This window comes from Homo sapiens, chromosome 16 (genome assembly GCF_000001405.40).
Source record: "Homo sapiens chromosome 16, GRCh38.p14 Primary Assembly".
NCBI classification, from domain to species: Eukaryota; Metazoa; Chordata; class Mammalia; order Primates; family Hominidae; genus Homo; species Homo sapiens.
In genome coordinates, this window is record NC_000016.10 from 68,396,886 (window position 1) to 68,413,298 (window position 16,413).

At 49.4% G+C, this 16,413-nt stretch overlaps 1 protein-coding gene across 6 annotated transcripts in view, besides 6 other annotated features; it reads right to left on the reverse strand.

The window, feature by feature from the left end:
• The window catches only part of SMPD3 (sphingomyelin phosphodiesterase 3), a 90,182-nt gene that overhangs the window by 38,559 nt on the left and 35,210 nt on the right, over window positions 1–16,413 (reverse strand). The gene's annotated exons all lie outside the window — the stretch shown is intronic.
• Window positions 925–1,425: an enhancer, noted in NCBI's record as "H3K4me1 hESC enhancer chr16:68431713-68432213 (GRCh37/hg19 assembly coordinates)". NCBI's record gives its function as "activates a minimal SCP1, AML or CMV promoter by ChIP-STARR-seq in primed H9 embryonic stem cells {active_cell/tissue: H9 hESC(primed)}" and the evidence as "EXISTENCE:reporter gene assay evidence [ECO:0000049][PMID:30033119]".
• Window positions 2,007–2,636: an enhancer, noted in NCBI's record as "H3K27ac-H3K4me1 hESC enhancer chr16:68432795-68433424 (GRCh37/hg19 assembly coordinates)". NCBI's record gives its function as "activates a minimal SCP1, AML or CMV promoter by ChIP-STARR-seq in primed H9 embryonic stem cells {active_cell/tissue: H9 hESC(primed)}" and the evidence as "EXISTENCE:reporter gene assay evidence [ECO:0000049][PMID:30033119]".
• Window positions 2,637–3,264: an enhancer, noted in NCBI's record as "H3K27ac-H3K4me1 hESC enhancer chr16:68433425-68434052 (GRCh37/hg19 assembly coordinates)". NCBI's record gives its function as "activates a minimal SCP1, AML or CMV promoter by ChIP-STARR-seq in primed H9 embryonic stem cells {active_cell/tissue: H9 hESC(primed)}" and the evidence as "EXISTENCE:reporter gene assay evidence [ECO:0000049][PMID:30033119]".
• Window positions 11,782–12,761: an enhancer, noted in NCBI's record as "NANOG-H3K27ac-H3K4me1 hESC enhancer chr16:68442570-68443549 (GRCh37/hg19 assembly coordinates)". NCBI's record gives its function as "activates a minimal SCP1, AML or CMV promoter by ChIP-STARR-seq in naive H9 embryonic stem cells {active_cell/tissue: H9 hESC(naive)}" and the evidence as "EXISTENCE:reporter gene assay evidence [ECO:0000049][PMID:30033119]".
• Window positions 13,890–14,842: an enhancer, noted in NCBI's record as "H3K27ac-H3K4me1 hESC enhancer chr16:68444678-68445630 (GRCh37/hg19 assembly coordinates)". NCBI's record gives its function as "activates a minimal SCP1, AML or CMV promoter by ChIP-STARR-seq in primed H9 embryonic stem cells {active_cell/tissue: H9 hESC(primed)}" and the evidence as "EXISTENCE:reporter gene assay evidence [ECO:0000049][PMID:30033119]".
• Window positions 14,843–15,793: an enhancer, noted in NCBI's record as "H3K27ac-H3K4me1 hESC enhancer chr16:68445631-68446581 (GRCh37/hg19 assembly coordinates)". NCBI's record gives its function as "activates a minimal SCP1, AML or CMV promoter by ChIP-STARR-seq in naive H9 embryonic stem cells {active_cell/tissue: H9 hESC(naive)}" and the evidence as "EXISTENCE:reporter gene assay evidence [ECO:0000049][PMID:30033119]".

Consider the following 16,413-nt stretch of genomic DNA (forward strand, 5'->3'; position numbering starts at 1 on the left):
ATAGCTTACTGGAATCATCATCTTCATCAACATGATTATATAAAAAATGTTTTGGGGTACCCACTGTGTGCCAGGCACTGTGTTCAGAGCATTCCCTGCACAACGTCTTGTTTCATCCCCTAAGCAGCCTGGGGAGGGTAGGTATTATTGATCCCGTACTCAGAGATGAAAACTGAGGCTTGGAGGGGCATAAGTGACTTGCTCAGTCACACAGCAGAGGGTGGCACAGATTCTGTGAGCAAGACTTATCTGCAGCCCCATCCTGGTTAGCATTTTGACCGATGGGGCTCTCTAATACACAGGAGGCACCCATAGGTAAGGGAGGAACACCCCAGGGGTTGGGAAGTCTTGCTAGCCACCACCCTTCCCTCTTACCTGCCTCCTCCTCTGTCCCAGAGGGATTCAAGGTGGATGCTGCCATGATTTGTTCTTAACACTGGAGTGTGAATTCATCCATCAACTGTTGTCCTGGATATCTGAATGGTCAGAGAGCTGGTGGGGATTGGGAGGTATAAACCCAGCAGGAACCAGGTAGAGTTCTGCTGTGGGGCTGAGGGATGATGGGGAACACCCCGGTCAAGCCCATTGTCTCTCCCTGGTGTCCTTCAGCCTTGCGCCCTCCATTTGTTCTCCATACAGAAGCCAGAGTGATCTTTCTAGGTACACACCTGGGTACCCTCCCCGCTGAGAACTCTTTCATGGCCCCCAGGATAAAATCCATGCCCCACATCTGCCTCCTCTCCTGTCGCACTTCTTGCCAATCCTGTCCTTAGAGCTCTCCTCTTTCCTTCTTGGTCCCGTTCTCTCTCCGGGAGGGCCTTTCCCTAGCCTGGAATTCCACGCCTTGCTTGGTCAGCTCCTCCTCATCTTCTGGCCTTTTGCGGGGGCGGGGGGTGGTCTCTTCAGGAAGCCTTCCCCCCTCCCCTGGTGGCAGTGCTTCGTCTTAGGGCCTCCTACAGTGAGCCTCTATTGCTCCTGGCACCACCCCAGAGGTGGCCTCTAGAGGGTCTGGGACCTGGGTCACATGTCAAACAGTCTTGGCCACCTGCAGACAGGCAAGGCCAGGGGATGACAACCACAGGGAGGAATATGCCCCAAAGGCAGCCTTCCAGAGGGAGATGCAGAATCTGGTTCTGGGATGTTGGGGCTTCGTCAGGGAGGGAGGGAGGGAGGGAGTCCAAGAGGTGGGTGGGCGTCTGGAATGTGCTAGGGCTGTGGCCACCTGGGCCCCTGCTGGAGCTGCAGCTGTGGATGTTCTCAGGGAGAACAGGCAGAGGGAAAAAGGGGGTCAAGGACAGAAGCTTGGGGCTTATCCCATTTTTGGCTTGGTGAGGAAAGAAGAGCCAAAAAGAGCACTTGGGAAGGGAGGAAGTTCACAGAAAAGGTGCTTGAAATATAGCGCTGTTTTTATGTAGTTCTCAAATAACCTTACTTTTTCCTTTTTCACTTAGAATAGCTGGAAAAGGAGGGCCCTACGTGGCAGTCCCCGGGATGAGAAAACCATGTGTCAGAAAGCTGGTGCCGAATCCCTCACACTATTTTTACCTTCCTGACACTACCTCTTTGAGCCCCGAGGAGGATCCTGGCCTGAGGTGGCCGAGCTGGAGTCTTCCAGGCTGATGTGGCCAACCTTCACCTTGTTCTCCAGAAACCACCAAAAAGCTGGCGATTCACTTTTCTTGACCAGAAATAAATGCATCAGACAAGTGTTCTCAAGTAATCTTGAGGGATGTGAACACAAAATTATCCCATAAATTGCTTTTGTTTCCTTTCCTCAGTTCAAAGTTGGTTTTTGGTTTGCATTAGTTACATTAAAATTGGACAGTAATTCATGCTCTTAAAATAGAATCTCCATGTTCCCAAGTTTAGAAAGAAAAGCCACCTAGGAATGAGAAAAACGTGGACCTATGTGAAATGCCATTCCATTAGCCACAGAATCTTTTGTGGGCCTTGGTGGGAGCACCCATCAGGCGGGATCTGTGGCAGAGCACACCGAAGTGGAGTGTGTCTGTGGTCACTTTTCATTCTGTTCCCCGCTCCAGGTCAAGGAAGCCTTTGACATCGTGGCCAGGAGCTCTGGGGACTCACTAACCTTTAATTACGTTTCTTATTTAAAATAGTGATAAACAGTCCCTCTGTTGATTCAAACATTTAAAAACACTGAGCCTGTAGTTGTTGGCTCTGAACAAAGAGAGCAAATCCTCCCGGCCTCCTCAGGCCCGCCCAGCCTCTGCCTACACCTCTGGGTTCTCAGACTCTCATTCAAATGCTGAAGCCAGAAAATGTCCCTGTGGGTGGGCTTGGGGGGAGGTCACTTCAGGATTCAAAATCAGGACTGGCTAGGCTGTGCAGTGAGGTCCCATTTTCCCCACATGGGGACTTCTGGCTTCTCCTATTACCTGGCTCCTGCTCTGGGTTCAAGGTGAAGGTCAGGAGGTGAGAAGGAGGAGCCACCTTCTTACCCCCACTGCCCCATGGTCTGGTGCCCCATAGCATGTCCACTCACCACTGTGCTTCGTTTATGAATGTCAGCCCCTGGTCCCACAGGCCTTGGATGTAAAGAGAACAACTCTGCTGTCCCCACGCCCCCAGTACATCTGCTGCCTGGAATGGAGGGAAGTAGGGACCCCTTCTAGGCCTGTGGGGTCCCCTTCAAGAGCCAAGTGCCATCCATCCCATCTTGTGGACACCCACAAAGAAGGAGCCTTGAGGCCCAGGCTCCCTAGAGGCAGCTGATGCAATGTAGGGGCAAGTGGGTGGGGAGGAAGGAAGAATGATGGTCAGACCCCCCACTGGCCATTCTTCCTGGATGACTTGGAACCCAATCAGCTGCTGCTCGCCTGGACTGCCAGGTTGCCTCGTCCTCATCATTTGGAAGACTGCAGCAGTGGCCAGGTATGGACTTTGCTTCAGTAGTGATCATGTCCAGAGAGGAGCCCCTTGCTATAAACACAGTACATCAGTGACATCCACGATAAACCCAAAGCCCTGCCTTGTCTCAGGGCTAAGGCCAAGTTGGCCTGGGCCCAGCTTCTCTCCGTAGCCTCATGCCTCCCCAGGCACCAGTGTGGATGTCACCACACCTCTCCACTCTACTCCATAGCAGGGCAGCTACTATTGTAGTCACCATTTTACAGATGAGGAAACTGAGGCCCAGAGGGGTAAAGCATGCTACCAAGATCACAGTGGAGGAGCTGGGATTTGAACCCAGGTCTGTCTGACTCTAAAACCAGTGCTGTTCTCAATCCATCCTGCCACAGAGCCTCCTAGTCCCACTTCCTGCCTCTGCCAAGTGGCCTCTAGAAGGAACCACCCTCAAATACGTGTCGGGGGTGATGTGGTCCTGGGTAAGGGTTAAGGGCTTTGTGGAGGTGCTGGAAGCTGTGAGGTTTCTTGTTGAGTCCAGCCCAGCTCTGCCAGGGTGTCCCCCTGACCTTGCCAGCATGACCCATTTGGGCTGTAATTTTAAACGATAATTATGGATTAGCTTGGTGACCATCAGGCCCTTCTGCTATATCCCAGGAAATGGACCTAACCCTGTTACAGGGCAAATCAGATATAATCAGCTCCTAATTCAATATGGTTGTTCTAAGTCACATTTATCAAGGGACAGAAGCTGGCCCATGGGTTAGACTACAGTAGTGGTTGGATTAGATTCAGACAAGAATCCTCAACTTGCACTTTCTGACAGTTTTATAAAAATTAAGTGGAAGAGATGAACTTTTTTAGTACCATATGCTACAAGTACACACACTTGTATGTCCCACACACAGATGGGGGCATGTTTCAGACTGGCCATGTGTCCCTGCAGCCTTGATCTGCCATGGTTGTGCCTCTCCAGCCCCGACAAAGGTGCCTAGACACCTGGAACACTGCTCTGTTCAAAACCAAACCTGAGCAATCACCCAGTGGGCAGGGCCAGTCATACCAGCCCCTTCTGTGGCTGACGACTGTAACTGGGTTCAGGTACATGGCAACTTCTGGCCAGCTCTGAGTGAGAGAGGATTTCTCTTCTAAGTGGTGGTTTGTGGGATCACAGAGGCCAAACAATAATCAGATTATTGGATGCTTGTGATTGGATCTGCTAGTTTTGCACTGGATTGAACTTTTTTCTCCTGACCCCCACCCCTCACCTTCAGAGCACTGCCAGTGCCACCCTCTGTGAGGTGCTGGCCTCAGAGCTCAGATAGTGAAACAGAAGTACAGAGTCTTGAATGAACCACCCAGGCCAGCATCCGTGAGTGTCAGAACTGGGACTTGAGCTCCGATTTGTCATGCTCCAAAGTCTGGGCACTTTCCACAGCATCCCTGCGTCTCACCCCTTTTCTGCCCCAGTCCACCTGAGGGAAACACAGTGGCTGAGGGGAGGGGCATGCCATATCCTGTTGCAGGGAGCACTTCAACATGTAGCTGACGCATTTGGACTTGATGTCACTGGCACTGGAGGTTTTCTGAGCCAATTTTTTAGGTTTTTGCCACCCAGCTCAGTGGTGATGCCCAGTAGGGAGTAGAAAATGCAAGACTTGAGTTTGGGCGGTTGGGGTTGGAAGTGGAATTGGGGGTGATAGGGGTATAGGAGGCAGCAGGGGCTGGGGCGTAAGTGGGATGTTACAGGGGGTGAGTTTGAAGACAGGGCCCTGTCTTTGGAGCATGCTTTAGAGTCAGGGTGGAGGTGGGACAGGGCATGTCCAAGAATCTCCCTGAATCCTGGCCTTGCCTAAAAGGTAATTATCTGAGATCCCCACACCAATAGCCTGGTTCCAGGAACTTCAATCTTCTTATTGCAAGGGGAAGTTTCAGGGCACTGTGCTGGCCAGAACAGGAGAATTTCATAGGTACAAGGCAGGCTGTCATACCAGGTTTTCTGGAAGCCTTCTTAAAGCACCTAGGACCATATAAATGCCTTCGTCGCAGATCTTTAGAATCCCAGCAAGGCAAACATGCCAAATGGCTAAGAGGACAGCAGCTTCCAGTTTATCCTCACTTGTCATGGCTTTATGTTCAGCTCTCCTTCCCGACTGCCAGCCCAGATGACCAACAGCGACCCCAGGCCCACACCAGACAATTCTCTGAAAACTCACAGAGGCGGTAGCCACAAAGAGGCAACAAGGTTCTACGGAATCCTACCCAGGCTTCCTTAGCAGGACCTCCCTGCAAGCTCCGACTCTCCTTCACCCACGCCACGGCTGGCTAGTGACCTTCCTCTGAGTCACATCTCTCTCCCTTTTAGACTGTCATTTCCCTGGCTCTTCCTACAATTAATAAGGTCTAATTCTTAGAATAAATTTCTGATTCCATTATACTTGTAGTATTCTGCCTCCCTGATTGAACCCTGAGTGATACAGCACCTCACCTCTGCAGGCCTCCATTTCTCTCCTCTATAAAATGGGGAAGGTATGTGACATACTGCCCTAGGAAGGGGGCTGCATCTGGGTGCTGAGGGCCAGGAGGCAGGGATTGATTCTGTGTGCATATTTGTCATAATCTGAGGACAAGCAATAAGCCAGAGTCATGACTCAACTCAGTGTGGCTTTTCATCTTGCACAAGCTGTAGGAGTCCCACAGAGCAGGGCCCACATGAGGTCAGTGGGTACATTTATGCTGGTGGTGGAAGGCGTGGTGACTCCTTCCAGTGGTCTGTTTGGTAGTGATTTGTTATATAGCATGGTAGGCGCTGTGCCTGAATGTTCAAGTTTATCCTCATTTGTCATGGCTTTATGTTCAGCACTCCTTCCTGACTGCCAGCCCCGATGACCAACAGCGACCCCAGGCCCACACCAGACAATTCTCTGGAAACTCAGAGAGGCGGTAGCCACAAAGAGGCAACAAGGTTCTACGGAATCAAGGTTCTACAGAATCAAGGTTCAAGGTGACGGCAGGTCAGTGCCTTTCCTGATTGGATGCTGGAATGCATTCAATAGTTAGGAATTCTTAGGAATGCAACCTCCAACTGGAATGTCACTTCCCTGGAAAACCAGTGTATGCTGAATTAGGAGACTTCCAGGAAGACGCTGAGAAGGGCTTGTTGGGCCTGAGATGTGCCTGCTGACTTGCTGGAGGGGAAGCTTCGCTTCTATAATGATGATGAGCTAGTCTTGTATGGAGAGTGGATTTGTACACTGTGTCAGGGTGCAGCACAGAGTGTCATGCTCCCTCTGGCCCCAGGGCCTTTGTTCCTACAGTAACGCTCTGATTTTAGATGTGATGTGGCTCCCTCCTTCACTTTGTTCAGGTCCCTGTTTCAAATATCACCCCCTTGGGATAGCTTTCCCTGACCATCCCGTACAAATAATGCCTCCTGTCACCCTCTATTCCCTTCCCTGCTTCATTTTTCTTTCCAAAACATCACCACTTAACTCATTATGCATTTCTATGTTTTCTTTCTTCTTCCACTGAAACACGAGCACCCTGAGGACAGGGATTCTGTCTGTTGTGTTCACTGTTGGATCTGTGACACCAAGAACAGTGCCAGGCTCAGAGTAGATGCCAATACAAATTTGCTACAGGTCAGAACTGACCTCTGCATAAAGACAAGTGACCTGGCCTGGCCTCACCTCTATTTCTGCCTTCATTCATGCCTGAAAACAACAAATACAGTTTTCCTAGTCCTGGAAGAAGGCTACTTCTTGATGTCAGGAAGGCTGGTTTGACTAATTCAGTACCAAACATGAGTTCTCAATATCCAGGGATTTTTATTCTTTTTTTGTAATCATTACTCTTGATCCTGGGATCTGTAACCATTTTAGAAGTGGATTTGATGTGATTAAATTCTTTCCTAGCCTAATCCTTTATGGAAAACAAAAGTTTTAAATGAAATGAATTAGAATGGATTTGCTGAGGTTTGATTGTTTGCACAATAATTTTACCCCAGCTCATTTCAAAACCAGGGCTGGGCCTCATGCGTTGAAGAATACCCTGACAAATATTCTGTAATGAAGGGGAACAGTTCCCCACTCTTGCGTGACAGCACTTACTGAGTGCCTGTGACTAGAGGGGTGACCACACACACAGGAGTCAGAGGGGCCAGCTGTCAGAAAGCCCATGCACATTCTTTTGCAGGAACGCCAGGTCCCAGGGAGGCTGAGGTGCAGCTGGGATGGTGGGCAGGATGACAACCCTGCCATTGTTTCTCTGTTTTCTTTTTTTCTTTCTTTCTTTATTCTTTGACAGGGTCTCATTCTGTGCAGTGGTGCCATCATGGCTCACTGCAGCCTCTGCCTCTCGGGCTCAAGAGATCCTCCCACCTCAGCCTCCCGAGTAGCTGGGACTACTCAGTGCACACCACCACGCCCAGCTAATTTTTTTTTTTTTTTTTTGAGATGGAGTTTCGCTCTTGTTGCCCAGGCTGGACATTACAGGCATGTGCTACCATGCCTGGCTAATTTTGTATTTTTAGTAGAGATGGGGTTTCTCCATGTCGGTCAGGCTGGTCTCGAACTCCCGACCTCAGGTGATCTGCCCGCCTCAGCCTCCCAAATTGCTGAGATTACAGGCGTGAGCCACCATGACAGGGTTTCATCGTGTTGCCCAGGCTGGTCCTGAACTCCTGGGCTCAAGGGATTCGCTTGCCTTGGCCTCCCAGGCATGAGCCACCATGCCCAGCTGTTTTCTCTGTTTTATCCTGGAATCTCCATGGGCCTCAGCTTAGCAATTGTGAGGGTGGGTATGCAGGAGGTGGGGTGTGAGGAGGGGCTGGCAAGCAACCTTTAGAAGCAGGTCTGAAGGGACTTGTCAGGGGTTCCCCAGGTAGGAAATAGGGGTCACCTGTGCCCCCAGCCCACCTGCCATTGAGGTGCTAGCCCCCAGAGGCTGTTATCTTTGTATAGATGCTGGGGGCATCAGGACAGCCTGAAACACTGTTTCCAGGAGTACAGCATAGAAAATAAGTCTTTCCATCCAAATTGGAAATGAAAAGGCCCTGGTACTTGACAGATCTACTCCAGTGACTTGGAACACTGTGTGGGAGACTTGTCCTTGGCAGCAGTAGAAATGGGGCGGCTCTGAACTTTCTCTCTGTAACCCCAGGCACATGTGTGCAGACTTGCCAGGCCCTGTGGGCCAAGCGGATGTAGGACCTGGCTCTTATCCGGGCATTTGGTAACTCGAGGAAAATGGACTTTTCCTCTTCTGCTGCTTTTGTTTTTACCTTTGGGGCCTTATCATTTGTGGCATCTGCCCTCTAGGACCTATAGCTTTTGGGACTGCTGGTAGACACCTATTCTACTAGCAGAGTTTTTTCCCCCAAGGCAGGTGTTTTGATGAGGGCTTGGGTCACAGCCTCGGGACTCATGGCTGCTCTGTATCTTCCATCCTGCTGGCCTGGACCACACGGTTCCATGACTTTGCCAGATTCCTTGGCAGGTTTCATTAAGAGAGATGCACAGGCCGGACGTGGTTGCTCACACCTGTAATCCCAGCACTTTGGGAGGCTGAAGCAATCAGATCTCTTGAGCTCAGGAGTTCGAGACCAGCCTGGGCAACATGGCAAAACCCCATCTCTACAAAAAATACAAAAATTAGCCCACGTGGTGGCACACACCCGTGGTCCCAGCTACTTGGGAGGCTGAGGTAGGGGTTGAGCCCTAGGGGTTGAGGCTGCAGGAAGCCATGATAGTGCCCCTGCACACTTCAGCCTGGGTGACAGAGCAAGACCCTGTCTCAAAAAAAAAAAAAAAAAAAAAAGAAAAGAAAAGAAAATACAAAAAGAGAATAATTTTGTCTGGGAGGCCTTGTGTTCTGCCCCCATCATGGGCCTCACTATACTCAGATGAAAATAGTGACTTCTCGGTGTAAAAGTCTCAGCCTGAAAGTCCTTTTCCTCTTTCAGAAATGTAAGTTAACACAGCTTAGGCCCTGAAGAAATGCCCGCCTGGCCACAGGATGGCATGCCACAGTCACTGCCCCTTCACAGTGAAGCCCCCTCCTCACTGGGTACAATTCAGAGACTGATGTGGGTGCATGCACCTCTCAGCTGAGCCTGATCCCTGGAGTGGAAATCCAGAGCTGTCGTCCGCCCTTAACCCCAGACTTAGTACCAGCTAACACAGGTGGAGCACATTCCTGATGCTGAACATTGTCAAGCGGTTTATCTCACTTGATCATCAGCCTTGTCCCCTCTGAGGCACCCTTAGCCCTCCCTGCTTTTGCCCTTGGTCAACAGCAGGGCGGGCAGTTGAACCCCCAATGGTCTGATGCTACAGCCTATGCCCTTAACCAGTCTGCCAGTCTTTCCCGTGGGGCTGTTTGATGATTCATTTTATTCTATACCCAGAAACAATGAGGCGTAAACCAGAATAAAAGGGGGCTATCATGATATCACTATTTGCCATTTATCTAAATTAGACAATAAATCACGAAGCTACTTGAAATAATATACACGTCAACCTTCTGAACATTTAGTTATCACTTAGTACCATTTGATGGTGTCTGTGGTATAATTAACACTTTCTTATAGAAAATATGATATTTCTGTGAAATAAAAAAGTGAATGAGAAAATCAATTTAACCTGGCCCTCCTCTTCCTTGGGGATGGGGCAGCAGATCTTGTGGCAGTGGCTGGTTGGGATGGCTGGGGCTAGTGGTGGATGAGCAGAAGTGTCCAGCCCTCTGAAGGCCAGGATGGTGCCTGGAAAGAGGGAAGCCTGTCGCCCTCGGTAGCGGCAGGTCCAGCTGAGGATTGCTGCTGAGCCCCAAATAGCTCCGTGTCCATTCATCAGACTCAGCATAATTGGGCATCTGCCACTGGCATCTCCAGATGTTTGCCTTTATCAGACGCCGATGTGGTTCAGAGTTTTCACTGAGAGCCTCGTAAAAGCTCTAGCTGGTTGGGGACGCTTATTGTTCATTTTATTTGAGTTCTTTATCATGTGCAAAATGTTCCAGGCACCATTAGGAGACACAAAAGACTCAGAAAACACAGTTTCAGGGGGCGGAAGCTCACCGTAGCGTGGAGGAGACACGGCCACAGACATTTACAAACATTTGCTGAACACAGTCAGCTGGCAGGAATGAAAAATCCGCTCTCAGCAGCACATCGGGGCATGGGGGTAGGGCAGTAGAGACTGAGGATTTAATGCTTGCCTGGGGGAATCTTGTAAAATCGGATGGCTGTTCTGGGCTGTTTGCTCATTAATGTGGTCTTTAGATTCCTGCTCAGTAAGATTGGGACGTGGGGCCAGAAATAGGGCAGAAGCTTGATCAGGAGAATATTGAAGGGAGACTCGTCTTGCTTGAGGTGAACATTTGAGGGCTGTGTCCAGGCACACTGTAATTACTGCTTAACCATAAGTGTAGCTTGGCAAGATGCATGGATTTATACATAGGTTGCTAAGGGCATTTAGGGAAAACCAAACGTAGGCGAGGAGAACTGTCTCCATCAATTTATAACATTCATGTCTGAGACAGCATCATGGAAGGGCAGACAACCCTGCTCTTAGGCATAAATTAAAGCTATCCTTCCTGGAAAAGAATAATTTAAATGATCAGTAACCTCTTTTGAAAAACTATTTTAAGAGTATTTTTTTGTTTTATGTAATTTAAAATTCCTGATTGGTAGGTATTCAAAATGACATTCAACTTTAATGTTTGACTTTTGAGTCTATTGTTGTATTTTTAATTTTTAATTTTTTTTAAGAGATGGAGTCTTTGCTATGTTGGCCAAGCTGATCTCAAACTTCAAGCCTCAAAGGATCCTCCCGTCTCAGCCTCCCAAAGTGATGGGATTACAGGTGTGAGCTACTACAGGAGCCTATTGTTGTATTTTTTAAAAATTGTTTTTAATTTTTATTCTAAAATCTTTATTATCACCTCTTAGAATGTGTAGCATATTGTTGTATTTTTAACCTGTGATCTTAAATGCTTCTTATGCCTTATTGTTTGGGCTGGTGTGCGAACTCTTAACTTGCTGAGTGTGAAGTTCTGGTATTGATAATATTGTAATACGTGTTTGCCTACTTATAAAAAACAGTGAAAATAAAAGTTTCTACTGGCAGAGGAAAAATAAGTGTTTAAAAAAGTACTTTCTTTTAAAAATCAACTTCATTTATTTCCCTTTTACCAAAAAAGAATTGGTGAAGCTTATAACAAAAGATATAACAGAGAGTTTATTAAGATAGAAATAGGAAATTGGAACCCAGGCAGAAAAGAATACAAATTTTCTAACCACCAATGGCTAATCTTACTTCTGTGACCAAGCTCCAAATTTATCTTTGAGCTTCCTAGAATCCAAGGAAAAAAGGGAAACATAATTAATTACATAGCCCCAGCTACTAAAATGAACAAAGTATGCCAATTCATGGATTTTTAAAACATTATTATTATTAAATAAAAGATAATTGCATAAATAAAACTTCAATCTGCAAAGGGAAAATTATTTTCTCAACCTCATTTCATGGAAAGACAATGAAAAAGCTAGTTAAATTCATTGTAGCCACACATAAAGCTGCCTATGGAATTAATGTGACTACTGTTACCTTTGAGCTATGAGGAATATTCTGCCCATATGGGTATTTAATTATTTGTGAATTTATACAAGAGAGTCAGGGGTAACTTCTGGGAAAATGGGGGAGATATTTTAAGAATATTTAGAAAAGAAAAGATTGATTTAGAAATTTTTTTGGTGAGAAGTAAAGCCTGGGCAATGCTGACAGACATGCCCACTAAGATCTGGGTGACTCTGGGATGGCTCCCATTCAATCAGCATATTGCTGAATGAATCATTTCAGGTCAAGGCCAGGGACCTGGACCTAGGCATTTGGCAGTGTCTCGCCTGTCCTTAGGTAGAGGCTGTGTTCTATTTCTCTGGTCTGCCCAGACAGTGCCTGGTACATTTTGCACATAAATAACTCAACCATGGTTCTGTCTCTCCTGGGTTGAGAACTCCAGGAGGGCAAAAACACATTCCCAGCATCCCTGAGGTTTCTGCCTGGTACTGGCAGCTGATACCACTACTGCCAGTGTTGGACGATAATAGCTCACAAACTAAAAACAGGAAAGGTGGGCAGTTATGAAGTGTTGGATGAGTGGGCACAATCCTGAAGTGGGCTTTGCTTTAGAAGGATCTGTTGTGCACCCCCACTCCCCACCGCTATGGAGTGCACACCAAGAGGCTCCACCTAGGTCGCTGAGGTCTCACAAGGGCCCTGCACTGCAGGTGACTGGGGTGTGTGTGTAGGGAGAGGACCCTCGCTGACAATGCTGACCTGTCTCTATCTATTCTCCCAGCAGGCTTTAAGGGTGGAATTCCAGCAGGCACTGCATTTTCCCAGCTTTTGTACTCAGTTACTCCGAGCTCATTCCTTTGCAGCTCTAAAGCTCTTTTGTGTTTCATCATCTTGCTCGAAACCTTGCCCGGAGGGCTCACTTTGGCCCCAGCAGAGAGTGCCTTTCCTGAGAGGTGAGGGATGTGGGGAGGGGGTGCAGTGAGGGGAGAGGCATATCTGTAAGCAGGACACACCTGTGGTCATGGCAGAGCAGTGTGAGTCTTACACGCCTGACTCGGGCTGGGTCTGTGTTGTGGGCAGCAGCTCTAATGCCTGCCAGAGTTGGGATTTGGGTAAGTCAGGTTTCCTCTCTGGGATTCCGTTTTTCCATCTCTGAAGTGGGCATTTTAACAGTACCTAAATAACACGAGGTGAAGGTGTCATGAGGGTAAACTGCACACAAAATCCTGTCCCAGTGCCCGACTCAGATGCACTTGGTGCATGGTCATCATGATTGGTTTTTTTTGAGACGGAGTTTCACTCTGTTCCCCAGGCTGGAGTGCAGTGGCGCGATCTCGGCTCTCTACAAGCTCCGCCTCCTGGGTTCACGCCATTCTCCTGCCTCAGCCTCCCGAGTAGCTGGGACTATAGGCGCCCGCCACCACGCCCGGCTAATTTTTTGTATTTTTAGTAGAGACGGGGTTTCACTGTTTTAGCCGGGATGGTCTCGACTCCTGACCTCGTGATCTGCCCGCCTCAGCTTCCCAAAGTGCTGGGATTACAGGCGTGAGCCACCGCGCCCAGCCAATGATTGGTTATTATCCTGTCCTGGGGATGAGAAGAGCCACCAGCTCCTTCCCTCAGACCGTCACCTACCTGACAAGAGGTTTCACACCTCATGGGAGAGGAGGCTGAGGTTAGTCACCCATGTGGGCAAGCCCCAGGGCCTCTCTGACCCTAACGAGGCAGAGATAAGACCTGCCTGTCCCGAGGGCTGTAAGAATCACATGCAGGCCCTGGTGGGGCAGTTCCTTGTCTCCAGCTCCACCGCAAGAGGACTGAAGACAGTACTCAGAGGACCTGCAGCCAGTACCCGGCACACACGAATGCCCCGTGGGTGCTGGGGCTGGTGTCACAAACTGTGGTTACTCCACAGGTGTCAGGAAGCACAGGGCTCAGGCTCCAGATGCTCCCAGGGGAGGGAGGAGGTGAGGGCAGAGGCGATGGGCCATGCCATCCACAGACCAGGGGTGGCCCCACCAACATGAACATTGTTGGTGTTGTCATCTTGGATGCCAGTCTGAGGTCCAGGCACAAACACACATGAATCTCCTCCCCATTTCTCCAGGCATCAGCACTGTCACCCCCAGCCTCAGGCTATTTGGGCAGTGGGGCTAGGAGTGTCCTCTATTTCTATGTGCTAAATCTGGCAACCCAAGGTGTTAAAAATCATAGTAGATACTACTGGATTTAAATCAGCCCAACTTTGGACACCTAAGGCTCATTAAAAAGCTGTAAGTGCAGAGCCTTCCTGACTATAAATCCTCGCTTTCTTGCAGAGTTTGACTGAGAGTCATTTTATCTGTTTCTCCACCATCACGGATGGAAATACTCCAGCATCCCGAGTTTTTTGGTTTGTTTGTTTTTAATTCAAAAGTTTCCCAGACACAGAGAAGGACTTAAATCGTAGGCCAACTGAAGGGCACAATGTTCCTGTTACAAGTAATTTAGGTAAAATAAAGAGTAACAGGAACACCTGCAGCATCGAGGCACCTTGCATCTGTGAATTCCGGCAGAGTGAAGACTCCTAATGACGGGCCATGGCACCTGCACAGTGAGGTCAGGAATCACTCAGACTTCACGGCAGATGCCAGTGAGTTCTGCCTAAGCAGGGAATGGGCGGGCATCATCAGCTGCCAGTGTTGGAGTGTGGGGGTGATCACACCTTGATGACAGAGAAGGCCAGAGTTTAAGGAGCCAGCAGGAAGAGGCCATGTGGCTGCACTCCTCTATGACCAGAATGTCCCTGTGGGCATGAGGGAGGGCAGCCTCCAGGCAAAGCAGGCCGGGGTCAGGAGAGATCTTTGGGGAGTGTCAGCACAGTGCCCTCCCCCAACCTCAGGCCCAGGCCTGTTCTCCTGCCAGGACCACCTCAGTCCAGTGATCACAGAGGGGCACAAACTCCTTGGGCACTTGGCACTTGGGTGCTGTTGCAGTGTTGGGGTGGGGAGCTCCAGGTGTGGCGGCCACACTGCCTGGCCAGAGCTGGTGTCTGAGGACAACCACCATCCTCTACAAGGTCACCACTATAGTTCAGGCTAGAGACCTGGTCTTGTGGGGCCCAAATGAGCACCTACCCATCTTGATTCCTGCTTAGGGCCTCTCCCACCCTCCCACTGCAGGCATGGGTGGAGGCTGGTGAGTGAGGGATGGGAGGGTGATGGAGGGAGGAGAGACTGAGCATGAGCTGATGGCCAGCAGGGCTGCCCACAGGACTTGAGACTGGGCAGGTGGAAGTGATAATGGATAACGATCAAAGATGAGGCCTACACCCAGCAGTGGGGGAACAGCAGCCACGTAGAGCATCCTTGTAGAACAAGCTGGATCACTCAAGCAAGCCCCATGCATTAACCTTGATGTTTTATTCTGTAAAGTGGAGCTCCTAATGCCTTCTCTGCCTCACCCTGGTAGCAGCCAGAGGAAGTGGCTGTGACACCTTGGGGATCCTAGGGCAGTGGGACAGCATCAAAAAGTGCTGAAGACTGGGAGGAAGCTCAGAATTGGGGGCAGGAATGAAAATGATAGACAGGAGAAATCCAGGAGTCTGGATCAGCACCTGGCCACCCTCTGGGCCAGAGGGGAGAGGCTGGGGTGGGGGAGCTTTTGAGACATGGTGGCTGGGAGGCCAGCATGCCTGGAACAGAAATGAGGGCATGGGGGAAGGAAGAAGGAGGCAGGAGGTGCTCTGGGAAAGTGCAGTGCACGGGGCCAGGGAGGCAGAGGCAGTTGCTAGGCGGAGCTGTGCCCGGGAGGCCAGAGGAGGCTGGGGAAGGCCTGGGGCAACTTCCTAGGAAAAGCCTAAGGAGGGGAGGGCATGAAGATGATGAGGAATGAGCAGTTGGTGGGGACTCAGAAGAAAATCTCACTGCCTGTCAAGGTACGCCCACAGCAGCCCAAGCCCTGTGCCAACACGCACTGCCATTCCTGGTTGCCAGATACAACCCTTGGGAGTGGGCGGGGAGGAAACCCACAGCCAGGGTGATAGCCCCCAAGACCCACAAGTGACCAAACCACCTAACATCAAACATGTAAAGGGTCCAGATCAGGAAATCCAACAGATTTCCAGCCACACCTATCTCCCAAAACATAGCTGGTGAATCCAGGAGTAAGTAGAAAGCAGCTCTGAAGAGTCAAAATGGTGGCCACAGCACCCCCAGTCCCTGCCTGCTCACCTGTAGGCAGAGGCCCTCACTCAGAGCCTACCTGCTTCATTTAACACACAGTTCTGATAGACATTGGTACCTGGTTTCAATTACAAAGAAAATCAAGCCCAAAAGAAAAACTCTAAGGCTCTGCAAATCTTGAATGTGCGAGATCATCACAGTGAGGAATCAGCCTGGAAAGCCTGCCAATTCCCACTCAAGATAGACATTCTGTGATTCCCATATTTTCATAATGAGGCTCCCCAAGTTATCAAGACATTGTAAAATAATATTCCATCTTCATTGCTTAGGAAGGCAGGGTAGTGTATGGTAGATGTTAGAGGAATATGCTGTGCTTTTAAAAGTTGGGCATTTGAAGAGGGGATGGAAGAACATTTTTTGAGTACCTGCTACATACACACCATCTTAAACATGTTAACCTCCTAACAATCCTACAAGTAACTATTATCTATGTCATTTTATAGAAAAGAAAACAGACTTAGAGAGCTGAAGTGATGTATCCCAGCTCATGCCGCTAATGCTTTTTTCTTTTCACCCTTGGCGTGGCTCAAGTCCTTGGCCTGGGGCCTATGTGGAATGCCTGCTCTTTGACACCAGGTGAATGAGGCTTTGCTGGATGCACAGGGCCTGAGTTTCGGTGATGTTTTCCAGGGTGGTGGTGATGGCTGTCACTGTCCCATCAGCTCACTGTGGGGACCGATTTTCTGCCCTGGCCTCCATAGCTTTGGCCACTCTGAGAGGCGAAGGCCCTTCTTCTGCCTCTGCTCCAG